The sequence below is a fragment of the Homo sapiens genome, chromosome 6 (assembly GCF_000001405.40).
Source record: "Homo sapiens chromosome 6, GRCh38.p14 Primary Assembly".
Classification (NCBI taxonomy): domain Eukaryota; kingdom Metazoa; phylum Chordata; class Mammalia; order Primates; family Hominidae; genus Homo; species Homo sapiens.
Window position 1 is genome coordinate 32,204,435 of NC_000006.12, and position 18,488 is coordinate 32,222,922.

Sequence of the window (18,488 nt, forward strand, 5' to 3'; positions counted from 1 at the left end):
CCCAGCACTACAAGGGACCCAGCTCAAGATAGTCTGTCCAGTCCCCCACCTTCCAGCTCAACAGCATCACTCAACTCACCATCCATCATGGCCATGTGTCACAATCCTTCTATCTCAACTCCCCATGAGACACAATTGTTGGCGACACACAACTCAAACTTCCCCAGTCCCAAACAATCTCTATGACACACTGCCACCAAACACAGCACCATTTTTGGTAAAACCTTCCTCCCCTGCTAAATACCTACCAGGCTCTCTCATACTTTATTAATTCATAAGCATCTATTGAGTGCCTACTTTGTGTCAGGCACCGTTTTAGGCACTAGGAATACAAAGAAAGTTAGAACCCATTCCTATTTCCTGGAAGCTCTCAGTCAACCAGAGGAAAGAAATGACTAGCATTTATTGCATGATTTATATACATAACCTAAAAATCCCCCTAATGACATTTTATTTGGGTTATCTCATTCGATTTTTACTTTGCACGTAAGGAAGCTGAGTCTCTGAAAGGTTAGTGACTTGTGCAAGTCAAATAGCTATAGGTGGCAGAGCTGGGAATCAATGAAGGTCTGTGACTCCAAACCAATGCTCTTAACCATTTTCTGCTTCTTCATGCCACTCAGCTAGTGAGAGAAGGGTCATTGGCAAGATCTGTACCACGTGCTGGCTTCTTGCAAGAGGAAAGAGAGTGTGCAAGAGTACAGTACCAGGAAGGCAGGCTTCAAAGAGAGAAAAGGGAATTCACAGAGAATCCAAGGAGTGGTCAGAGAGCTGGAAGGAACAGGTGATGGGGGTGTTTTGGAGGAGGGAGCTTCATAAAAGAAGAAGTAAATAGCCGGGTGCGGTGGCTCACGCCTGTAATCCCAGCACTTTGGTAGGCTGAGGTGGGCAGATCACGAGGTCAGGAGTTCGAGACCAGCCTGGCCAATATGGTGAAACTCCATCTCTACTATAAATACAAAAATTAGCCGGGCATGGTGGCATGTCCCTGTAGTCCCAGCTACTCAGGAGGCTGAGGCAGGAGAATCGCTTGAACCCGGGAGGCGGAGGTTGCAGTGAACCGAGATCGCGCCACTGTACTCTAGCCGGGGCAACAGAGTGAGATGCTGTCTCAAAAAAAAAAAAAAAAAAAAAAAAAGAATAAGTAAAGCTGAGTAATGGGTGCCCAGAGGTTTACTACTGATCAGTATACTGCTTTTGTTTATGTTTGAAAATGTTCATAATAAAAGGTTAAAAAATAAAATAAAAAAGTGAAAAAAGAGGGTAGGTTAGGGTATCTGTCTTGAGCCTTCTATCAAAAGTTGTGGTTCTGGCCGGGCACGGTGGCTCACGCCTGTAATCCCAGCAGTTTGGGAGGTCAAGGCGGGTGGATCACTTGAGGTCAGGATTTTGAGACCAGCCTGGCCAACATGGTGAAACCCCATCTCTACTAAAAATACACACATACACAAAATTAGCTAGGTGTGGTGGCAGGCACCTGTAATCCCAGCTACTGGGGAGGCTGAGGCAGGTGAATTGCTTGAGCCCGGGAGGTAGAGGTTGCAGTGAGCTGAGATTGCACCACTACATTCCAGCCTGAGTGACAGAGCAAGACTCTGTCTCAAAAAAAAAAAGCTGTGGTTCTATATCTCAAAATAATAAAAGCCATATATGACAAACCCACAGCTAACATCATATTGAATGGGGAAAAGTTGAAAGCCTTTCCTCTAAGATCTGGAACAAGACAAGGATGCTCACTTTCACTATTTTTATTCAAGGTAATACTGGAAGTCCTGGCCAGAGCAATTAGGCAGGAGAAAGAAATAAAGGGCATCCAAATTGCAAAAGAAGAACTCAAATTATCCATGTTCACAGATGACATAATCCTATATTTAGAAAAACCTAAAGAAAACACTGGTTATAAACAAATTCAGTAAAGCTGTAGGATACAAAATCAATGTAGAAAAAGTAGTAGCATTTCTATACGCTAACAGCAAACAATCAGAAAAAGAAATCAAGAAAGCAATCCCATTTATAATAGTTACAAAAAATAAAAACAAATGAATAAATTTAACCAAAGAAGTGAAAGAGTACTGCAATGACAGCTATAAAACATTGATGAAATAAATTGAAGAGGACACAAAAAAATGGAAAGATATCCTGTGTTCATGGATTGGAAGAATGAATACTGCTAAAATGTCTGTGCTTACCAAAGTGATCTACAGAGTCATGCAACCCCTATGAAAATACCAATAATATTCTTTACAGAAATAGAAAAAACAACCCTAAAATTTATCTGAACTGTAAAAGACCCAAATAGCCAAAGCAGTCCTGAGCAAAAAGAACAAAGCTAGAGGTACCACACTACCTAACTTAAAAATATACTATAAAGCTATAGTAACCAAAACAGCATGGTGCTGGCATAAAAAACAGACACATAGACCAATGGAATGTAATAGAGAGCCCAGAAAAACAAGTCCAAACATTTAACAGCCAACTTACTTTCTTTTTTCTTTTCTTTCCTTTTTTTTTTTTTGAGATGGAGTCTTGCTCTGTTGCCAGGCTGGAGTGCAATGGCACGATCTGGCTCACTGCAACCTCCACCTCCTGGGTTCAAGCGATTCTCCTGCCTCAGCCTCCTGAGTAGCTGGGATTACAGGTGCGCACCACCATGCCTGGCTAATTTTTGTATTTTTAGTAGAGACGGGGGTTTCACTATGTTGGTCAGGCTGGTCTCGAACTCCTGACCTTGTGATCTGCCCGCCTTGGTCTCCCAAAATGCTGGGATTACAGGCATGAGCCACCACTCCCGGCCAGCCAACTTACTTTCAACAAAGGCACCAAGTACACACACTGGGGAAAGGACACTCTCTTCAATAAATTGTGCTGGGAAAACTGGATATCCATATGCAGAAGAAACTAAACCTAGGCCGGGCGGGGTGGCTCACGCCTGTAATCCCAGCACTTTGGGAGGCGGAGGTGGGTGGATCACCTGAGGTCAGGAGTTTGAAACCAGCCTGACCAATATGGTGAAACCCCATCTCTACTAAAATTACAAAAATTAGCCGGGCGTAGTGGTGTGCACCTGTAGTTCCAGCTACTCAGGAGGCTGAGGCAGGAGAATCAGTTGAACTTGGGAGGTGGAGGTTGCAGTGAGCTGAGATCATACCACTGCACTCCAGACTGGGCAACAGGGCAACAGAGCAAGACTCTATCCCCCCCCCCCAAAAAAAAAGAAAAAAAGAAACTAAATCTCTATCTGTCATCATATACAAAATAGATTAAAGCCTTACATGTACAGCTGGAAACTTGAAGCCACTAAAAAAAAAATTCAGCCGGGCACGGTGGGTCACACCTGTAATCCTCAAACACAAGGTCAGGAGTTTGAGACCAGCCTGGCCAACATGGTGAAACCCCGTCTCTACTAAAAATACAAAAAAATAGCTGGGCGTGGTGGTGGGCACCTGTAAATTCCAGCTATTTGGGAGGCTAAGGCAGGAGAATCGCTTGAACCCAGGAGGCAAAGGTTGCAGTGAGTCAAATTTGCGCCACTGCACTCCAGCCCAGGCGACGGTGCAAGACTCCTTCTCAAAAAAAAAAAAAAAAAAAAATCATTTGGGAAATGCTTCAAGACATTGGTCTGGGCAAAAGTTTTTTGGGTAAGACCTCAACAGCCAGGCAACAAAGGCAACAACAGACAAATGTGATTACATCAAGCTAAAAAGTGTCTGTGCAGCAAAGGAAACAATTAATGGAGTGAAGAGGCAACCTACAGAATAGAAGAAAATATTTGCAAACTGTCTGACAAGGGATTAATAATCAGAACGTATAAGGAACTCAACAGCAAACACCACCACTACCACCACCGACAAATAATGTGGTTTAAAAAATGAGCAAATTATCTGAACAGACATTTCTCAAAAGAAGACATACAAATGGCCAACAGGTATATGGATGCAAATCAGGGAAATGTAAATCAAAACCACAATGAGATATCATCTCACACCAGTTAAAGTGGCTGTTATTGAAAACACAAGGGCCAAGTGTGGTGGCCCATGCCTGTAATCCCAGCACTTTCAGAGGTTGAGGCGGGAAGATCATTTGAGGTCAGGAGTTCGAGACCATCCTGGCCAACATGGTGAAACCCCATCTCTACTAAAAATACAAAAAATTAGCCAAGCATGGTGGTCCACGCCTGTGATCCCAGTTACTTGGGAGGCTGAAGTACAAGAATCGCTTGAATCTGGGAGGCAGAGGTTGCAGTGAGCTGAGATCAAGTCACTGTGATCCAGCCTGGGCAACACAGCAAGACTCTGTCTCAGAAAAGGAAAAAAAATGCAAAAAATAGCAGATGCTGGCAAGGATGCAGAGAAAGGGGAACCCTCATACACTGTTGGTGGGAATGTAAACTAACACAGCCAGTATGGAGAAAAGTATGGAAGTTTCTCAAAAATTAAAAATAGATCTACCATGTGATCAATCTACTGTTCATTACATATCCAAAGGAAATCAGTATCTTGAAGAGATATCTGCATCCCCATATTTATTGCAGCACTGTTCACAATAGCTAACATATGGAATTAACTGAAGTGCCATCAACAAATGAATGGAAAAAAGAAACTGTGTCATATAGACACAATGGAATATTATTCAGCCAGAAAAAGAATGAAATCCTATCATTTTCAGCAACATGGATGAAACTGAAGGACATTATGTTAAGTGAAATAAGCCAGGCACGGAAAGACAAATATTGCATGTCTCTCACCTTCACCTTTGTGCCACTGCCTTAGTTAGTCCTGACCTTTCTTGCATTCCAGGTAGATACTTGCATCAGCCTCCTATTGCATGTGTAATATTGCTCCTCACTCATATGTGGGAGCTAAAAAAGTTAGTCTCATGGAAGTAGGGTAGAATGATGGTTACCAGAGGTTAGAAAGGGTGGCAGGGAGGGGGAGATGAAGAGAGGTTGGTTAATGGATACAAAATTATGGTCATATAGAAGGAATAAGTTCTAGTGTTAGATAGCAGAGAAGGATGGTGATAGTTAACAATTTGTATTTCAAAATAACTAGGAGAGAAGATTTGAAATGTTCTCAACACAAAGAAATGATGTTTGAGATGATAGATATCCCAATTACCCTGATTTGATCATGATACATTGTATGCATGTATCAAAATATCACATGTGTCCAGGTGCGGTGGCTCATACCTGTAATCTTATCACTTTGGCAGGCTGAGCGGGTGGATCACTTTAGGTCAGGAGTTCTGAGACCAGCCTGCCCAACATGGTGAAACCCCATCTCTACTAAAAATACAAAAATTAGCCAGGCGTGGTGGCGCGTTCCTGTAATCCCAGCTACTCGGGAGGCTGAGACATGAGAACTGCTTGAACCTGGGAGGCGGGGGTTTCAGTGAGCCAAGATTATGCCACTGCCCTTCAGCCTGGGGGATAGAGCGACTCTGTCTCCAAAAACGAGAGAGAAAAAAAAAAAGAAACCAAAAAACTCACATGTACCCCATAGATACGTATGACTACCGTTTGTCAATAACAAAAGAAAATAAAATGGCAACCACACACACAAAAAAGTTGTGGTTCTGAGCATATGAATCAGGCTGCTTAGACTTGAATGCCAGCTTTGCCTCTCCTGGCTTAGTGACCTGGACCACAAAGAAGAGGCCCTAATCCAGCCTGGGGAGAAGTTAGGGACATCTTCCTGAAGAAGATGCCTCCTGAACACCAGCCTGTGGAAGAGGGGTTGGGAAGGCCATTCCAGGTAGTGTCAATAGCAGGGATAAAGGCTGAGAGGCAAGAATCAGTATGGGGTACGTGGCAAAGTCAGCAGCAGTTTCATGTTGCTGGAGCAGAGAGTAGAAGGGTGGGATGGGGAGAGCTGAGGCCTGAGAGGCAGGCAGGGCTGGGTCATGCAGGCCTTGGACTTTATTCAGAATGAGGCGGGCAGCCTCCGAAGGTTCAGCAGGGGAGAGACAGGTCAACTGGACATTTTCAGTAGAGTACCCTGGCCACGGGGTAAAGGCTGAACCTATAGAAGGACAAGTGTGGAGGCAGAGACTGTAGTTAGGAGGCTGATGCAAGTATCTATCTGGAACGCAACAAAGGTCAGGACTCAGGCAGTGGGACAAAGGGTGAAGGTGAAAGCACAGACTTGAGAAAACTTCAGGAGATAAAGTGGCATGACTTTGTGGTTAGTTGGGTGTGTGGGGTTAAAAAAAATAAAAGGAGGTGAAATGGATACATTGGGTCTTCCCTCAGTCACTACTGTCTCTCCCATCCAGCCCACCCTTGTCTTTCCTCCCCCTTCTCCTGCAGACCCTCTCACCTGGCAGAGATACCCACTGGGCTGGGCCATGCAGGTGGCCCCGTTCTGGCAAGGCCTGGACTCACATGGGTTCACGTGATCCTGGCACAGGCTGCCTTGGAATCCAGGGGGGCAGTGGCAGAAATAGGAGGGGCCGCTGTCGACACAGAGGCCTCCATTGTGGCAAAGGGAAGAGACGTCTATGCCTGGGGAGAGAGACAAACAGGGATATACAAAGATAAGTGGGGGGCCGGGCGCCATGGCTTACGCCTGTAATCCCAGCACTTTGGGAGGCCGAGGCAGGTGGATCACCAGGTTAGGAGTGTGAGACCAGCCTGGCAAACATGGGGAAACCCCGTCTCTACTAAAAATACAAAAAATTGGTCGGGCGTTGTGGCAGGCACCTGTAATCCCAGCTACTTGGGAGGCTGAGGCAGGAGAATCACTTGAACCTGGGCAGCGCAGGTTGTAGTGAGCCAAAATCGTGCCATTGCACTCCAGCCTGGGCTATAGGGCAAGACTCCATCTCAAACAAACAAACAAACAAACAAACAAACAGAAACGGTAAATGGGGATGTGGCCGGGCGTGGTGGCTCACACCTGTAATTCCAGCACTTTGGGAGGCTGAGACGGGTGGATCACTGAGGTTAGGAGTTCGAGACCAGTCTGGCCAACATAATGAAACCCCATCTCTACTAAAAATACAAAAAAAAAAAAATTAGCTGGGCATGGTGGCACACGAATCCCAGCTACTTGGGAAGCTGAGGCAGGAGAATCACTTGAACCTAGGAGGTGAAGGTTGCAGTGAGCCGAGATCGTGCCACTGCACTCCACCCTGGGTGACAGACTGGGACTCCATCTCAAAAATAAATAAATAAATAAATAAATAAATAAATAAATAAATAAATAAATAAGGTATGTGAGGAGGAGGAAGGGTGTATTCAGGGCCCAATCTCTGGGTGTAGAGGCCTTTACCTTGGGGACCACTAACATTCCTGGGTGGAGACTGGTCTGGGCCCAAGGAGTTAATAACTCCTGGCACTGAAGAAATTAGACCATCGAGTTTTACCTCTCTCCTCACCCTTTCTGCCAGAATATTGGAGACATACCCCTAAAGCTTATCATAATGTTAAAGCAACTGTTTTCTTGGCTTAAAGCAAGGCTTGAGCAAGAAATAATTCAAGGTATGCCTCAAGTGAGGACAAGTGGCTTAAGTCTGTCCCCTGAGTTCTGCATTCCTTTAATGTTCTCTCCCTGTGATTCCCATCAGCTATCCCTTAACTCCATCATAATCTCTTTCCCGAGCTCTTCTCATATCAAACCTTATTTTAGTGTTCTTTTACAAAGAGGGTGGCGTGACATCGAAGTGAGTGGGGTGGGGTGAAATGCGTTGAGTGTAGCTGGATTAAGTGTGGTCCACTCTGCCTGGGTTATGATGATCAGGACAGAGTTGAGTTGCTCCACGTTGAGTCATGTCCCTCATGGTTGGGTTAAACTGGAATCCTGTGGAATGGGCTGGTTGGTGTTGCTTGAATTGCGTTAAATGAGGTAACAGGAATTGTGTTAGGCTTCTCTGATTGCACAATTCAACACCTCTGCAATCAAGAACTGATTTGTCTGTGTGGTTTTGATTCTCAGATGGTTGTTTTGGCCAAAAGCTGTGTGGAAGCCCACAGGAACGGGGCAGGTGAGAACACCCATATTTTCTTCATTTGCTCTCCAGTCAGTGCCGGCGTTGGTTACCTTGGCTCAGTGCAGCCTTCTGGCAGGAGGACAGTGGAAGGTTGCAGAGAGGCCCGGTCCATCCCTGGAGGCACAAGCAGTGGAAGGAGGGCCCAGTCTGGAGGCAGTGGGAATTGCGTGGGCAGGGCTTCTGGGCACATAAGTCCATCAGAGTCTGAGGGGTGGGAGGGAGCGTGAGGCAGGACATAGCATCAGATTCTCAGCCCAGAGATGGTCCTCTGCCCACTCCAGCTCCTCGAAATCCCTTACTTCAAAAACCTTCTCCTGAATGGCCTGGGACCAGGTGACCCTCCCTGGTTTCCCTCCCAGCCACTTCCCTCCTCAGCACGCCTGACTTCAATGGCCCTCACCTGGCAGCTGCCTCCGGTGTAGCCAGTGGGGCAGAGGCAGCGGGGACCCTGAGGGCTGTCCTGGCAGGTTGCCCTATTCCTACAGGGGCTGAACAAGACAGAGACAGGGCATGATAGGAAGAAGTTCGGGCAACAAGGGGAAGGTAGTGTGTGATATTGTCGGGAGGCAACCACAGGGAGGTGGCAAGCCAGGAGGGAAGGCGGAACGAGGTGTGGGGTGGGAGGCAGCCTGGAACCCAGGGGGAGATGAGAGGAGGGGTGGGAAGGCTGAGGGGTTTTCTCCCTTCTAGGGGTCTTTGGGCCCTGCTCACCTGTCTGCACAGCTGGGGCGGAGCTTTCCCTCACAGCGCGGGCCCTGGAAGCCCATGGCACAGAGGCAGGAGAAGGTGCCAGGCCTGTTCACACAGGTACCCCCATTGAAGCACGGGGCTGGAGAGAGGAGGCTGTGAGGGTTTGGGTTCCTTGCCTGTAACCTGGCCTGTGACCTCAGTCACACTGTACATAGGACATACACCCCCCACCCCCATCAAAACGACAGCTCACTGCCATCCAATTAATTTTTATTTATATGATATTTTATTGTTTTTAGATAGGGTCTTGCTCTGTTACCCAGGCAGTGGTGCCATCAGAGCTCACTGCAGTCTTAACCTTCTGGGCTCAAGTCATCCTCCCACCTTAGCCTCCCAAGTATTTGAGACTACAGGCCTTAGCCACTGTGTGCCCAGCTAATTTAGAGATGGAGTTTCATTATGTTTCCCAGGCTGGTCTGTTCAATTAAATTTTAAAAAATATGACACAAGCATACCCTCCTTAGTTCTTCCATTCTCCTGTGGACCCCAGCCCCATGACACAGTGGGCACTCACCAGACACACAGTAGTCAGTGCTGGTTTGGCACTGGGGCCCTGTGTGGCTTGGAGGGCAGGTGCAGTAGTAGCCTCCAGGGCTAGGGTTGCAGGAGCCGCCATTGAGACATGGCCCTGAGTGACAAGCTGTCATCTCCTCACTACAGGTGGGTCCTGAAGGAAACAGGTGGGGGCTGAGAAAGGGTGTCCTCCTTCCCTCCCTCCGCTCTCCTTCTCTTTCCTCTTCCTTCCCTTCCTCATCCCCAACCCTATTATTCTTTCCCATCAACCTCCGTTCTCACCACCTCCCACACATCACCCGTGTCCCCTGCAGTCCAGTTCTCCTTAGTGGTGACTGAGACTCAGGGCCCGTGGTCGCCTGCCTTACCCTTGACATAGGGGGTGACCAGCACAGGGTGTATATGGTTTAGGGAGGGTCTCACCTGTGTAGCCTGTAGGGCAGGTGCAGTTGTAGCCAGAGGGCTGGGGGTAGCAGGTCCCCCCATGGGCACAGGGTGCAGAGATGCAGCCCCCTAGCTCTGCCTCACACTCTGGCCCCGTCCAACCCACGTCACACACACATGAGGATCTGGTTGTAAAGAGAAAGGGGAGGGTTTTTCTCTTCTCCTACTGCTTATGTTCCCCTCCCTGCTGCCTGGACCCCTATGACTTCCTCTTCTTTTGGCCCTGAGATTCTGGCCTCTTTCTTCAGTGACTTTGCTCTCAGCACCGCCCCCATCCTCCCCAACACCTGCTCATTTTCTCCAACTAGATATATGCATCTATATATCTAGTTGGAGATATATATATATATATATACACACATATATATTCTTTCTGTAACTTACTTATTTTCTGTCTTTCTTTAGAATGAAAGCTCTACGAGAGCAGTTGCTTTATCTCTTTTGCTTTGTGTTTCCCCCAGGGCCTGGAACAGTAGCCACACAAAGTAGGTGCTCAGCAGATTTTTTTTTTTTTTGAGACGGAGTCTTGCTCTGTCACCCAGGCTGGAGTGCAGTGGCATGATCTTGGCTGACTGCAACCTCCGCCTCTTGGGTTCAAGTGATCCTTCCGCTTCAGCCTCCCAAGTAGCTGGGATTACAGGTGCGCCACCATGCCCAGCTAATTTTTGCATTTTTAGTAGCTACAGGGTTTCACCATGTTGGCCAGGCTGATGTTGAACTGCTGATCTCAGGTGATCCGCCCACCTCGGCCTCCCAAAGTGCTGGGATTACCGGCATGAGACCGTAATCAGCACTGCGCCTGGCCTCAGCAGATATTTTTCTAATGAATGATTAATTCGCCCTGGGATTTAGTGCTCTTCTTTCTGCTCTGACCCCCTGGTCCTCTGTTTCCACCAGTTTTTGTGGACTCTCTTCTCCTTGGATAACACTTACCAGTTGAGCCCTCCCACTGCCTTGCCCTAAGAACTTTGCCATCTCCTTCCTTTTCCCCATTGGTCATTTCTCACAGACCTACATCTCACTGGCTGTCTTCTCCTGTCCTAGCGAAGGGAGCCCAAAGGAGGGGGCAGATGGGGAGGGTCTGGAAGATGTTACCTCTGGCAGTGCCCGTGGTGGCAGGTGCAGTTGTCCTCAGGTGGGGCACAGCCAGGGCTTCCATCAGGACAGAGGCAGTTGGCCTTGTCTTTCTGGTCCTTACATATCTGCTTGGGCTGGCACAGGTTGGGAGCACACAGGGGAACCTCACAGAGCTGGCCTGGGGTGGGAAGATGGGTCAAAAAGAAAACAGCTCCTCCACATCCTTCATTGGGCCAAAGCCACATCCTTCATTGGGCCAAAGCCACTTCTTATGCTTGCCTTACTCACTCCCTATGAACCCATGAACCTGTCCTTCAATGGGTCCCTATTGCCTTTAAGATATTGTTTAACTTTCTCAGAATGATATGCAGAGTCCTGCAGGACATGACATTTGTACAACAGCTGTGTTTCTCATCTTTGCCTTGCTGTACCCTTAACTCTGACTTTCTTACAGTTCCTTAAATGGGGTGGGCTTTTCTTCCATCTGTGTCTTTGCACATGCAGTTATCTCCAGCTAAAACACACTATCTGGCACTCTATTTAGACAGACTCCTGACCATCCATCTTTCTATCTTTCTCTCTTTCCTCATTTCCTCCTTTCCTTCCTTTCCTTCCCTTCTCTCCTTCCTTCCTTCTTTCCTTCCTTCCTTCCTTCTTTTTTTTTTGAGATGGAATCTTGCTCTGTCACCCAGGCTGGAGTGCAGTGGAGTGATCTCAGCTCACTGCAACCACTGCTTCCCAGGTTCAAGCGATTCTCTTGCCTCAGCCTCCCCAATAGCTGGGATTGCAGGCGCCCGCCACCACGCCTGGCTAATTTTTGTATTTTTTTTTTTTTTTGAGGTGGAGTCTTACTCTGCCACCCAGGCTGGAGTGCAGTGGCGTGATCTCAGCTCACTGCAAGCTCCGCCTCCCGGGTTCACGCCATTCTCCTGCCTCAGCCTCTGGAGTAGCTGGGACTATAGGCGCCCGCCACCACGCCCAGTTATTTTTTTGTATTTTTAGTTGAGATGGGGTTTCACCGTGTTAGCCAGGATAGTGTCGATCTCCTGACCTCATGATCCACCCGCCTCGGCCTCCCAAAGTGTAATTTTTGTATTTTTAATAGAGACGAGGTTTCACCATGTTGGCCAGGCTGATCTCGAACTCCTAATCTCGGGTGATCCACCCGCCTCGGCTTCCCGAAGTGCTGGGACTATAGGCGTGAGCCACCACGCCCAGCCTCTGCTTATCTTTCAAGACTCATCTCAGCCATCACCTCCTCCATTTTTAGTCTGGGTTGGCTGGTCCTCTGTGCTCTTGTAATATCCTGCACGTTTTTCTCTCAGAGCACCTCTGTGGGCTATGATCAACAGGAGACTTGTTGGTCTCTCTGTATTAGACTTAAAGTCACATGAAGATGGCAACTGTCTTACTCAGATTTGCCTCCGTATCTGGCATAGTAGGCAGTTGGTAAGTGCTTGCTAAATAAGCAAGTGAATGCCTTTTCTTTGAGCCCCGTCCTCTGCTCCCAAGCCGCAATCACACCATTTACACTGGGCCCATGTGGGCCCTACGGTAACCCCTGCCCTTGTCCCCATGGTTGTACAATTGTGCAGGTTTTACACTAAATAACTTTAAAGGATACCATTCTCATTCTATTCTCACATCCCAACCATCAAACACCCACCAATGAACTCTGCCCCAACCCAAATGGAATAAAATATTCTGCCAGTTCTTTCCAGTGCCTCCCCTGTGAACCTGTGAAACCAGAGGGGCAGAGGCAAAAGAAGGCTCCTGGAAGATCAAGGCAGCTGGCTCCAACGGGACATGGGTCACTCAGGCACTCATCCACCTCTGTTTGACAGCGTGGCCCTTCAAAGCCTGTGGCACAGCAGGAAGGTCAGGGACCTGCACGGATGTCTGCCTCCTGCTCCCGCTGTCCCCCACAGTGTGTGCCCCAGTTTACCTGGGAGACACTTGCAGTGGAAGGCTCCAGGCTGGTCCTGGCACTGCCCACCATTGGCACAGGGAGAGCTTCTGCACTCATCGATATCCTCCTCACATCGGGTGCCGGAGAATCCTGGTGGGGCGGAAGTGGGTGGGGAGAGGAGGCCAAGGTCATCGAGGGAGGCACAGCATGGCGCCTTCCCTTGCCAGGAAAGGTGAACTTGCAGAGCTTCCCAGAGAAGACACCTGGGGCAGGTGAGCGTGGGGTGACAGGAGATGATGCAGAAAAGGTGAAGCTCAGCCACCTGCCAGCTGTGTGACTTTGGGCAAGCTGGTCAACCCTCTAGGCCCCAGTTTCCTGTTCTGTGTAAAAGGGGAATAATAATGGAACCTACCTCATGGTACTGTTAAAAAGATTAAATGACATAACGCCTGAAAAGTACTCAGCCAAATGGCTAGCCTGGAGTAAGTGGTGAATAAGTGTAGTTATTATAATAGCAGGGGACAGAGGAGTGTCCGGTGAGGCTGGAGAAGAAAGGCTTGGGGCAGCTTTTGCTGGGTTTATGATGAGAGTGCCAAGACCAGCCTGGGACCTCAACATGCATACACAGAGGCTGTGCAGGAGGACTGGAAAGGAGGGATCTTTGGGTGATTTGGTAGGACAGAGATGAGAATGGGCAAGTAAGCAAGGGAAGATTTGGGGATGTAAGAGTAGAGATTTTGGGGAGCAAAGACAGATTTGGAGGACTCCTTGGCTTGGCTAGAGAGAGCTTCAAGTGGCCTTGGGTGATTGCTGAGCCTGAACTCTGCAGGTTCAGAGGCCTGGGGTCTGAGGGTGGCCAGAGAGGCATCTGTACTCACCAGGCAGGCAGATGCACTGGAAGCCGTTGAGCAGGTCATGGCAATCCGCGTGGTTCAGGCAGGGAGCTGAGGCACACTCGTTGGTCTCCACCTCACAGAGCTGCCCTTCTAAGCCTGGGGACATGGGGACCATGAGGGCTGTGGCTCAGCCAGGTCTGCCTGGGAGACCTGTGTTCTAGAATCGGCCCTGCTCCTGACTTGCCCCACTCAGGCGGTCCTCCCCCGAGGTGCTGTCTGCATGGGGTTGAATAAGATGAACCCTGAGGCCCTGCTGCTTCGCAGTGTGTGGCCCTGCTCCTTGAGGTGTGAAAGGCCAGGGAACAGGGTGCTTGCTGGGGACCTGCGGGAGGACTACAAGGCTTTCTGGTGGCCATTCCTGTGTATACAGAGGGCGGGGCTCACCAGGGCAGGCTGATCAGCCTGGAGGACCTCAAGGTACAAATAGGAACAAATTGGCTTGGAGAATGAGTCCCGCTTCTTGTTCTCCCTGGGTGGGCCTCCATGCTAGGGAGAACAGAGATCCCAAAGTGGAGGAATTTGAAGTGCATCTGGGAAGCTTGTTGCTCCTATATTTGTCCCGTTGCTTTGGGTTCATCCTGGTCTCCACTGTTTCATCCTGAATTGAGGTGGGATCAACCTCTGGACCTTGGCTTCCTTTCTTTTCTTGCCTGAGGAGTCTGCTTCTGAAGCTCCTTGATATCTACAATGTTGTCCCTTGGGTTACCGAACCGTTTTCTCTTATTTCTCTATGATTGTCTGTTGGGTGACCTGAGCCAGTATCTTTGGGTGCCGCTCAGTTTAGAAAGTCAATATGGGGTAGTGGTTATAATTGTTGAAGCCCTTGGTTTGAATCTCAGCTCTGCCACTTGCTAGCTGGGTGACCTTGGACAAGTCACTTAAACTCTCTGTGCCTCAGTTTCTTCAGTTATAAAATGGGCAGTGCTGACCTCATAGGGTTATTGTAATAAGTAGATGAGACAATGCCTGTAAGATGCTCAGACAGTACCTGGCATAAAGTTGGCGATTATTTTTCTGATTTCATTCAACTCCTTGATGTTGGCTCTGTTGCTGTCTCCCTGGGGCGACTTTTCCCCCTTAAAACTAGCCTGGAGGTGGGTGCTGTCTTGCAGCAATTTTTTTCTTGTTGTACCAAATTTTCCTGTTGTATCACAGGGCTTTTGGGATTTTAAGGGATTACCTTGAATCTCTACATGGGAGAGTTTCTATAATCAGAGGGAGCATTCTGGGTTGACCTGAGCAAAGGCTGCAGCACAGAAAGTTTATGAACTGCTCTTCTACCCTCTCTTGCTGGGCTGCTGTGTACAGTGGACCAGGTTGTGCAGCCTCTATGATGACTATGAAATGAATGGCAGCTTCCCCCCAAGTTGAGGAATGCATAACCTCACTACCATCTGTGGTAACCCCTCTCCTAGGGGTCTTGGGTGTCCCTGAGTTTTCGTCTGGGGGTAGAGAGAGAAGCATCTGTGGTAACTTACGCCAATTGGCCTGAAGCTGTCCTTACTCTGGAGGGGGCATTCCTAGTGGGTTCAGGACTAGTTCCCTGTTTTCCCCACCCAAGGCCCCATCCAGCTGATACCTGGCGGGCAGAGGCAGTGGAAGGTGGCAAGTAGGTCCAGACAGGTGCTTCCTGGGTGGCAGGGCTGGGAGAGGCACTCATTGTGATCAGCCTCACAACGGGAGCCTGTGTAGCCAGGTGGACAGAGGCAGTTGAAGGAGCCAGGAGTGTTGAGGCAGGAACCGCCATGTTCACAGGGACTTGGGCCTTGCTGGGCTGGGAGGAGAGAAGAGCTGGGAGTCCACAGGGGTCAGGGCAGGAAGGGCAAGGAGGTGAGACTGTCAGGGAAGGTGTGGGGGCCTGCGTGTGGCAGACGAGACCAAATTGGGGAAGGGGCTTGTGTCTTTAAGATGGAAAGGAAATAAGGGACCAAACTCATGGGGACTGAGGGGCTGAACATTGGAGAGAGGGTCATGTAGGCAAGAGATGCCAAATCTGGGCAAATTCAAGGAAAAAGATGTTTGGTTTTTTAATTGGAAAAGCAATCTGCCCTTTTCTGTCTTCAGTGCAGAGGCCTGTCTGAGGCTCAGAGAGGCTCTGAAGTGGGAGTGGCCTCACCCATCAGACACTCGTCCAGGTCCTGGTGGCAGGTGGGCCCCGAATAGCCAGGCTGACACAGGCAGAGTGTGGAGCCTGTGAGGGGGTTGGTGCTGCATTGGGCATCCCCATGGCACGGCTGGCTCAGACACATGTCTTCCAAGTGGCACAGGAGTCCTGGAGGGGTAAGAGGGGGTGAGGCTCTCAAAGGCCACTTGAAGCTCCTAGCAGTCCTCCTGGTGCTTCTCTCACCCTCCTTCTCTACCTCCCACCTCCTGATACCCTCTACCCCCATACCTGTGCGTCCAGGTGGGCAGAGGCAGGAGAAAGAGCCCACCCGGTCAATGCAGGTGGATCCCGGGGCACAGGTGGCAGCAATACAGTCATCCAGGTTCTCCTCACAGCTTGTGCCGCCCCAGCCACTCACACACACGCAGTGAAAGCTACCAGCAGAGTTCTGGCAGGTGCCCCCGTTTCTGCAGTGAGGGGGACCCTGGGTCTCACACTCATCCACATCTTCGGAGCAGTCCCAGCCTGCAGGGGGTTGGGGAGGGGACGAGGGCTAAGGCTGGGAGCCCTATGAGTAGGGGAGGCCAGGGGCCAACTCTCTGGGCCATGGGTGTCATGGATGTGGCTTAAACAACTCACCTGTCCAGGTTTCTGGGCAGAGGCAGGTGTAGGTGTCCAGCCCATCCTGGCAAGTGCCCCCATTCTGACACTGGTGGCTGACACAGTTGTCTGGATTCACCTCACAGTCTGGGCCTATGAAACCTGACAGGGTCATGGATCAGCTGTGGGAGGAGGCTCCAACGGAGACATCCTGCCCTGCCCAGAGAGAGGGGCGGCCGGAGAGCCCCTGTGAGGACACACCTGGGGGACAGAGGCAGAGGTGAAAGGTGGAGTCTTTCTCTGGCATCAGCTGGCAGGTGCCCCCATTCGAACAGCCCCTAGGAGGGCAGGGTCCTGCCCGCAGCTCACAACGTGGACCCTCCTGCCCCACAGGGCAGAGGCACTGGAAGGAGCCCAGGGTGTTATGGCAGGAGGTGCCTTTGGGGCAGGGTCCTGGGTCCTGGAAGCACTCGTTGACATCACGTTCACAGGCATGGCCCTCGAAGCCCGGTGGGCAGTGGCACTGGATCTGGGGGTATGTGGCCAGACACACCCCTCCATTAACACATGGGTTGGCTGAACAGAAGTCCCGAAGCTGGCACTGCTCACCTGAGGCAGAGGACAGAGGGAGCCGTTTCTAGCATTGTACGAATTCTAGCCCATCTGAGGTTACCCAGTGCTCACTCTGGATTATCTCTGGGTCTCATTTTCATATTTCCTTCCCTTTATTACCATACTTTCTTTGCTCTGTTCCATCACCCCTGCTCTGAGCGATGTCATGGCTTGGGAGGGTTTATCTGGAGTGACCATATCTTCTAAAGTGATGATGAGAGTATTGCAAATTGGCCTTGCCTGAGAAAATCTGGGACGTGGGTGATCTTGGGGGAGGTGAAAAGCACCCCACGTCTGCAGGCAGGAGACTCAGGTGGCACCATGCTGTGCCACAACTGGTTGTATACCCTTGGGTGAGCCACTTTGCCTTTCTGATCCTCATTTCCTAATCTTTAAGTGGGTTTAGGCACCTGGAGACTCACTTCACAGTCCATGTGCACCAGTGGTAATGGCGGCAGCAGTGGAGGTGCCAGGTGCTGAGCTGAGCAAGCATCTCCTGAGCATCGGCCCCTTCTGTCCTCTCAGCAACCTTATGAAGTGTGACCATTACTCTCCCTGTTTGTCAGCTGACAACTGAACACCAGAAAGCTAAAATATCTTATATGAGGTCATGTAGCTGATCAGTGGCAGAGCTAGCATTTGGATCCAGGGGCTGGTGCAGAGCCCCTAGAATGAAGCACTAAGCTTGCCCCAGGGTTACACCCCTCCTCCTGGGGCGGCCCCCAATCCACTCTCTGGGTCACATCCTTCCCTTCCCGGTGCCCCTCCCACCACTGCAGTCTTCCCAGGTGATATAATGGCTCCCTCCACTCAGAATGGGAGCCATTCAGATGCTCAGAATGCAAAAGTCTGGAGGACCCCTGGTATGCAGAGCAATGACCCTCTTCTAGCTGCTAGGCAATGGGGAGATTAAAGGGGCTAGAACAGGCATCAGGATGGTGCACAAAGGGGGCTCATGGCACCCTTAATTTGGAAATATTTTAACATTTTAGCAATCAGTACAACCATGCTGGTGAATGTTGGTTGTGGGTAAGTGGATTGCCAAGAATTGGCATGTTGATTCTCATGGCTTCTGTCTTCAAAGGGCTTGCAGTTTCTCAGGCTCCAGTTCTATCTTCCCCACCCACAGCCTAGCCCATTGCTCCTGCCTGTCCCCTCCTGGCTGCCCCCAGCAGCGCTTACCTGTCCATCCAGGCATGCAGGAGCACTGTGGGCGGCCCGAGGCCTGGATGTGGCAGCGGCCCCTTTTGGAACAGAAGGAGGGAGGACAAGGGTCTTCAAGCTTGGCCTGGCATCTCTCACCAGTGAAGCCAGGGAGGCAAGTGCACAAGAAGCTGGGTGTCAATGGAGAGGGAGAGCTGGGGAGCCCTAGGGGAGCGGGAAGCAGGGCTTGGCAGCTGCCTCCATTTTGGCAGAGCTGGGCGTTCTGGCAGGGGTCAGGAAACTGGCACGTCTCACCCAGGAAGCCAGGGGCACACCTGGGCAGGGGAGGAGAGGAAAACTCACATCACTGGTCCCTCTTCCTATTCTTGCCCACTCCCTCCTCTGCCTTCATTTGTTTCCCTTCATCTCCTTCACTTCCTCTCTTTCTTCT

At 49.9% G+C, this 18,488-nt stretch overlaps 1 protein-coding gene across 3 annotated transcripts in view; it reads right to left on the reverse strand.

The window, feature by feature from the left end:
* Positions 1-18,488, reverse strand: part of NOTCH4 (notch receptor 4) — a 29,225-nt gene that overhangs the window by 9,592 nt on the left and 1,145 nt on the right. For 2 of the 3 annotated variants that reach the window (NR_134950.2, NM_004557.4), the window contains exons 3-18: positions 18,077-18,372; positions 16,544-16,891; positions 16,322-16,444; positions 15,971-16,207; positions 15,695-15,850; positions 15,158-15,352; positions 13,561-13,674; positions 12,719-12,832; positions 12,511-12,633; positions 10,792-10,951; positions 9,676-9,821; positions 9,254-9,406; positions 8,701-8,818; positions 8,390-8,477; positions 8,040-8,193; positions 6,318-6,502 (exon numbers count right to left, since the gene is read on the reverse strand). Coding sequence is in view for 1 of the 3 variants with exons in the window: in NM_004557.4 (NP_004548.3) it covers positions 6,318-6,502; positions 8,040-8,193; positions 8,390-8,477; positions 8,701-8,818; positions 9,254-9,406; positions 9,676-9,821; positions 10,792-10,951; positions 12,511-12,633; positions 12,719-12,832; positions 13,561-13,674; positions 15,158-15,352; positions 15,695-15,850; positions 15,971-16,207; positions 16,322-16,444; positions 16,544-16,891; positions 18,077-18,372 (2,710 nt within the window). In the remaining 2 variants the exon portion in view is untranslated. Of the gene's footprint in view, positions 1-6,317; positions 6,503-8,039; positions 8,194-8,389; positions 8,478-8,700; positions 8,819-9,253; positions 9,407-9,675; positions 9,822-10,791; positions 10,952-12,510; positions 12,634-12,718; positions 12,833-13,560; positions 13,675-13,962; positions 14,065-15,157; positions 15,353-15,694; positions 15,851-15,970; positions 16,208-16,321; positions 16,445-16,543; positions 16,892-18,076; positions 18,373-18,488 lie in introns of all 3 variants that reach the window. The other variant, NR_134949.2, reaches the window with a different exon arrangement.